Source organism: Homo sapiens, chromosome 4 (genome assembly GCF_000001405.40).
Source record: "Homo sapiens chromosome 4, GRCh38.p14 Primary Assembly".
In the NCBI taxonomy this organism is placed as follows: Eukaryota; Metazoa; Chordata; class Mammalia; order Primates; family Hominidae; genus Homo; species Homo sapiens.
This window is the reverse complement of record NC_000004.12, coordinates 57,461,131-57,468,687: the sequence shown is the minus strand read 5'-3', so window position 1 is coordinate 57,468,687 and position 7,557 is coordinate 57,461,131. Positions and strand designations below refer to the sequence as shown.

At 39.5% G+C, this 7,557-nt stretch overlaps 1 long non-coding RNA gene across 1 annotated transcript in view; it reads right to left on the bottom strand.

Moving 5' to 3' along the window:
- Positions 1-2,701: 2,701 nt before the first annotated feature.
- The window catches only part of LINC02380 (long intergenic non-protein coding RNA 2380), a 40,115-nt gene continuing 35,259 nt past the window's right edge, over positions 2,702-7,557 (bottom strand). The window contains exons 5-6 of the long non-coding RNA NR_125907.1: positions 4,316-4,463; positions 2,702-3,047 (exon numbers count right to left, since the gene is read on the bottom strand). This is a non-coding gene — a long non-coding RNA (long intergenic non-protein coding RNA 2380). The remainder of the gene's footprint in view (positions 3,048-4,315; positions 4,464-7,557) is intronic.

The window sequence follows — 7,557 nt, the reverse complement described above, 5'->3', positions numbered from 1 at the left end:
TGACACAAACAAGCAATGGGGAAAGATTCCCTATTTAATAAATGGTGTTCGGAAAACTGGCTAGCCATATGCAGAAAGCTGAAACTGGACCTCTTCCTTACACCTTATACAAATATCAACTCAAGATGGATTAAAGACTTACATATAAGACCTAAAACCATAAAAATTCTCGAAGAAAACCTGGGCAATACCATTCAGTACATAGGCATGGCAAAGACTTCATGTCTAAAACACCGAAAGCAATGGAAACAAAAGCCAAAATTGACAAATAGGATCTAATTAAACTAAAGAGCTTCTGCACAGCAAAAGAAACTATCATCAGAATGAACAGGCAGCCTACAGAATGGGAGAAAATTTTGCAATCTATCCATCTGACAAAGGGCTAATATCCAGAATTTACAAAAAGCTTAAACAAATTTACAAGAAAAAAACGAACAACCCGATCAAAAAGTGGGTGAAGGATATACACAGACACTTCCTAAAAGAAGACATTTATGCAGCCAACAAACATGAAAAAATGCTCATCATCACTGGTCATTAGAGAAATGCAAATCAAAACCACAATGAGATACCATCTCACACCAGTTAGAATGGCAATCATTAAAAAGTCAGGAAACAACAGGTGCTGGAGAGGATGTGGAGAAATAGGAATGCTTTTACACTGTTGGTGGGAGTGTAAATTAGTTCAACCATTGTGGAAGACAGTGTGGCAATTCCTTAAGGTTCTAGAACTAGAAACACCATTTGACCCAGCAATCCCATTATTGGGTATATACCCAAAGGTTTGTAAATCATTCTACTATAAAGACACATGTACACGTATGTTTATTGTGGCACTATTCTCAATAGCAAAGACTTGGAACTAATCCAAAAGTCCATCAATAATAGACTGGATAAAGAAAATGTGGCACATATACATGATGGAATACAATGCAGCCATAAAAAAGGGATGAGTTCATGTCCTTTGCAGGGACATGGATGAGGCTGGAAACCATCATTCTCAGCAAACTATCACAAGAACAGAAAACCAAACACCACATGTTCTCACTCACAAGTGGGAGTTGAACAAGGAGAACACATGGACACAGGGAGGGGAACATCATACACCAGGGCCTGATGTGGGGTGGGGGGCTAGGGGTGGGATAGCATTAGGAGAAATACCTAATGTGGGTGACGGGTTGATGGGTGCAGCAAACCACCATGGCACATGTATACCTATGTAATAAAACATGCACATTCTGCACATGTACACCAGAACTTAAAGTATAATAAAAAAAAATTGTGGTGTGTATACACCATGAAATGCTACTCAGCCATAAAAAGGAATTAAATATTGGCATTCGCAGCAAACTGGATGGAATTGGAGACCATCATTCTTTTTTTTTTTTTTTTTGAGATGGAGTCTCGCTCTGTTGCCCTGGAGATGGTCTTTCTAAGTGAAGTAATACAGGAATGGAAAACCAAATATCATATGTTCTCACATATAAGTGGGAGACAAGCTGTGAGGAAGCAAAGGCATAAGAATCATATAATGGGCAGGGCACAGTGGCTCTACTCCTGTAATCTCAGCACTTTGTGGTGGGGCCGAGGCAGGTGGATCACTTGAGGTTAGGAGTTCAAGACCGGCCTGGCCAACATGGTGAAACCCCGTCGCTACTAAAAATACAAAAAAAAAATAGCTGGGCATGGTGGCACATGCCTGTAATCCCAGCTACTTGGGAGGCTGTGGCAAGAGAATTGCCTGAGCCTGGGTAGCGAAAGTTGCAGTGAGCGGAGATCATGCCACTGCACTCCTGCCTGGGCGACAAAGTGAGACTGTCTCAAAAAAAAAAAAGAATGATATAATGGACTTTGGGGACTCTGGGAAAAGGGTAAGAGGTGGGTGAGGAATTTAAAAAAAAAAAAAAAAAAAGAATTTCAAATGAAGAGGCAAATTCTGAGAGTGAAGGTCCGCCAAGGGAGTGGTACTTAGGATGGGCATTGAAATACGGGTGGATACCACCCAGCACAAATTAGAAGAGGCTCACGGGCAGCCTTTCCGTCAGAGAGAAGCATGTGTAGATCTGTGACTGCTTCCACAGAAGAGATAAAGCTTCGTATGAAAGTCCTGCTCTCTCGTCTATTCCCTCAAATCCAATTTCCCTACCACTGAGTCTTATAAAAGATAATAATATCATCCGACTTTCCTGTTTAACCCTTCAATGACGTTTATCTACCAGATATAGTCTAAACTCCCCAAAACGGCACATCAGAGCATCTGGGATCAGACCGCTGCCGGTCCCTCCAGGCTCATGTCCTGAACCTACTGACTTGTTCTCATACTCCAACAAGACACAGACACCAAAGCCCCTGAAGGAATCACACATATGTTTACTGAATACATTCTACATAAATTTACTTGCTGGAGCTGTCCTTACCTCTTCAAATGCCCTCTCTACGCTCTTTGCCTGACTAATTTCCACCCAACCCTTAAGGCTCAGCCACTCTCTCTTGCTTTGCAAACTCTTCATTTATTATCCCTGTAACTAATTGTTCAGTGTCTATTTTCTGCACTAGATGGTAAAGAGAGGAAATAGGTCTATCCTATTTGCCCCTGTATCTCCAACACTTACTAAAATATCTAGCATAGGGCCACCTCTCAAGAAATATTTGTTCAATGAATGAATGAATGAGTTAGGAAAAAACAAAAGGAACAAGGAGACAGTAGTTCAGGGAGCACACATGGTACCCTACCTCGGCTTTCAAGATAAATGTGACCATCTTACACTGGTATTACCCAGCTTTAAAAAGTACGTTGGCATAAGGCAGCTATAAATATCTTCGTTGATAGGCTGAGACACAGAAGTCAGGCAGGATCAAATGCTGCACAGTATCACACAGCGTGCTTGTGATTCCATGGTATCAGAAATGCAGGGCTTGGACATTTGAGCATGAATGCTGTCAGATTCAAACTTCACTATGAAGGTCAACCATGTTGCTATAGAAAAACAAGATCCACTTTTGCTCCCACCATGTAGAATTTGAATCTCCTGTTATAATGTTTTTAGCTATAATGGAAAACAGACTTAGATGAGTAACTCATAATTATGGCAAGAGCACTGAAGATGAACTAAGAATGCAGTATTTTGAATGCCAATGCATCTTTTATCCTATCGTAAATTATTGTCAATTCTGCTTTTAAGGGAAAATGAGAGTACATTGCAGGTGATGGCCACTTACTGAGAGAATGCAGATGGCATTAAATATTTCAGACTCACTGGCTTAAAATGTTATTCACTTTTGTTTGCTCCTTCCCTTGGTGGAATCGGAATGCAGTCTTAAAATTCCCTCTAATGCCAAACAGCTGCTACTTTGCTTTGTTTTATTTAAAATTGAATGTAGCTGCCCCAGATGCCCTGCCCGTGTGGATCTGCACAAGATGTCACTGAGCATCACCAACAAGCCCTGAAAAATTATATTATGCCTGTATACTAATAAGCCGTGGAGTATTTGTGGAAGAATAGGGAGAAGACGGCGTATTCACCTGTTTATTATACTACAGCACCAATATATGGCTATTAGCACATAAAATTTTTACTCATATGGCTTGGGGTCAAATATTTAGAGTAAAGGCATCTTAGAAATTATCTGGTCAGATCCCCCTTCATAATTAGAAAACTCAGCCCAGAGAATTTTAGTGATTTGCCAAAGTCACATATCTGATGTGTGCCAAGGCCTCACCCTTCTCCCTTGACAATGCACCCAGCATTCAGTAGCATGAAAGTACTTTTTTAACATTTGGGTTTTCACTCAGCTGTCACCATCTTAGCACACAGTCAATACCTAGTGAACTCCCACTTGCTCTCTCTCCCTTTCTCTAAATCACTTTTTTCTCTCAGCCAGAAATTCTACTTTGATCTTGGTAACTGTTCTTTATATCATCCCAAACAGACAGAAGCAACCTCAATGGTAATTTTCACTCATATGAGTAATATGGACAGTTCTGTACCAGGCACAAAGGGAAACAATCTCAAAGAACTTGAGAAGAAGTTTTAACATTATGAAGTACTATCAGCTGAGAAAATGTGGCTATGAAATATATTAACTATTCTTTGAAGCCTCTTTCTGCCTTTCCTCAATCTCAATTTCTTCATGAAACCCAGTAGACATCCTGTTACTGACAAAGGCAGAATATCTGAATAGATAAAACTTAAAGGCACTCCCTAGTCTATGGTAATAGAATACACATAATAGTGAGGTCAAGCTAACTGCTGGAACAAAAAAGCCCCAAAATATATATTTTGTCTAATATAAAAGAGGTTTATTTCTTACTCACCTAATAGTACTGGGCAATGAAGGAGTTAGTAAGCTGTCCCTTTTCTAAGTAGTTATTTGGAGATTAAATTGATGGAGATGACAGAGGCTTTTCCATCTTCTACATATAGCTTCCAAGATGTCCCTGAGGTCATGGGCACTCAGTCCAGCTAGAAGCAAAAAAGGAGCATGGAGAAGCACATACAAGTTTCAATTAGCCAGGCAAGCAGATGGTGGAGCATAACATTTTCATTCACAATCCACTGGCTAGAATTCAGTCACATGGCCTCAACTAACTGCAAAGGGATGCTGGGAGGCAAAATCTGGCTGAATTTCCAGGAAAAACAGGACATACCACTTGAGTGGTACAGAATCTATCTTAGCCTCTATGATATACCTAAATTATGTTTTTAAAAATCCCAGGATTCAAATAATAAATAATAGCTTTGATGAAATCTTATTTATATACTCAAATTCTTCCATGATTAGACAATTAGAAAATCAGAGAGACACATCGCTCCTCTCAAGCCAACTAAGGACTTCTAAGATTAAAGATGTAGCTAATGTCATAATTTAATAAATAATAAATCCAAGCAATAAATCGAGTATTTGCAATGAGCATTACAACCCATCAAGGCAAATATTGGTTTTGGCTGATTTTTTTTTTTCATTAAAACTACATACCCACATATATCCAATCAGATTTCTAATCAAACTTTCCAGGAAGTTCAGCCTTAAAACTAAATATATTCAATTAGTCATTGGAACAATCTTATATGATTGGATTGACCATTTCCTTAGAAACTTCTACTTACTGAGCATTTGCTCTTCATCAGACACAGACTTATGGGGCATGATACTATTATGTCACCCATATTGCAAAGGGGAAAACAGAAAGATGAATAATTTGTTCTAGGTAAGATTCAAACCCAGGCCCATCTAATTCCAAAGTACTGTGGTTTCCCCTGTGGTACACTTTTCCCAGTTGGCCACTTCAAATGTTTGGATAAGTTGCATGCTTCAGTTAAGACTCCATCTGAGTATTTGGATATTCTCTATATGAGCTCAAAAAGGTTTGCAGAGACTTAGAATTAATAGCACTATCAAGACTTGACAGGGCAAATCACCTGCCTCCATGTCCATCCACCGCTTACCAACAAGGGGAAGTACTACAGCATGAGAGAATCTTGATGTGTGACTCCTAACAGTCTACTTTTTAATCCAGTGTTATGCCTTTCCAGCCTCTGCTTTGGGAAATGCAGACTGGGAAGGAAGGATCAAGCCTACTCAGAAACACAAGCCGAGGTATTATCCTAGCAACTCCCTAAAGCAATTGTACAACATTGTTTGCCTAAGCCTTAAGTGCTGATGCCTGGCAGTGAACAATGCAAAGTTCAAAGGTTTGCTCATTACCATAATGGGATATAAGCCTTTACTGTTGGCTGTGGAATAATGAAGATAATTCTTTTGGATTGTTCCTTCAATCTGTGTTTATTTTGGTTAAATAAGCTTTTTTTCTTTTTCTCTCTCTCTTTTTTAAACATTTCTTGAAGTTTTTTCTATGATTACTTTTAAGATAATATTCTACAGATTTTTCATAAGGAGCAGAAGGTTATTAATTGAGGTCCCCCCCAACCCAGCACAAAACATCTAATCCTTCACTTTTCCGTGGTCAACAAATAGCACATTACCTTAGTATTTCTGTATTTGCCAATAATGAGAAACTTGTTAGCCTGACAAAGCCAGATTTAATTAAAACACACAGACACACACATACACACACACAACAAATATGTTCATAATAGTGAAAAACATTGGCAGCAAACAAATGAGAACATATTGGAAAAAACAGAACATTTCTTTACCCTGCATGAGAACTTGAGCTACAGCAGTGGTAATAAACTCACACGGCAAAACAAAATAAGGGTTTTCATCAATGCAGTTTTAAGGTTAATTTTTAAGATAAATTTTCTTACCTCTTCTTGACATGCCCTCATACAGTCAGACTTTAAGCCAAAACCCTATAAAGAAATTAATTTTTTAAATCATTCTTGCCACATACTCATTCTAGAGGTGCACATTCCAAAAGTGCTAATGCCTCCAGTTTGGGACCACTGACCTAAAGAGAGAAATTGGGGGATATAATCACACTGTTCCTTGTGCCTTTGGAACGTTTGGAGCCACTGTCAGCTCATAGGTCCTTCCTGTGCTGACAGCAAGGAGTTGGTCCAGAAACTGTTACCCACAAGTCTACAATGAAATAAGGAATTTGAGCACTAATCTAAAAGACTTCTTCTAATAATCCCCAGAGTTGGGAGTTGAGGAATAAAAGGAGCAAAGATACAGTCTGTCTTTCACCTTGCTCCTGGAGGCTCCTGCAAGATGCTTGGGAAGCATTATAGTGGCCACACCTTCCTGAATACCTTTATCCTAACCTGCCCAGGTTTATCTGATTCAATCTTTATGTAATGGCCAAATAACTCTTAAAAGAGGGATGGTCCAGAAGGAACAGTGGTTGTAACTTTCCTTTAGATTCACCTTTGCTTTGTGCCCTGAGGAAGAGGGCTTGCAGTCCCTGACTTTTGACAAAAGATTATAAATTAGCATACAGGAATATTTACCATCTCTTAGCTACTTTTTCATCTCAAGTAGTCCCTCCCTTCATCAAGCTAGGTTGGTGATCTTACTCCTTCCCATGGTGCCATGGTTTGAATGTTTGTTCCCTCCAAAACTCATGGCAAAACTTAATCCCCAATGGAACAGAGTTGGATGCAGTCTAATGAGTGGTGTTTAGGTCATGAGGACTCCATCCTAATGGATGGATTTAATGTCACTATAAGGAGGACTTCTAAGAGTGAGTTTGCTCTCTTCTGTTCCTCTGCCATGTGAGGAAAAACATTCCTTTTCTCCAGAGGATGCAGCATTCAAGGCACCATCCTGAAAGTGGAAACCAAGCCCTCACCAGACACCAAATATGCTGGCACCTTGATCTTGTACCTCTCATCCTCCAGAACCATAAGAAATAAATTTCTATTTTAATGTTTATAAATTATCCAGTCTTTGGTATTCTGTTATAGCAGCACAAAATGAACTAACACACTTGGGAAACTGCACTACCCCACTGGAAAAAGGAGAATTCTTGGTAGCTTCTCCTGAGGCTTCAACACTAAAGTCCCCAGGCTTTATTGAGGTGTTAATTGAGGTGCTCAGCTGCAAACACAGGAAAGGAGGGAGAAGGGAAAAGGTGAGATCTGGTGTCAAGAG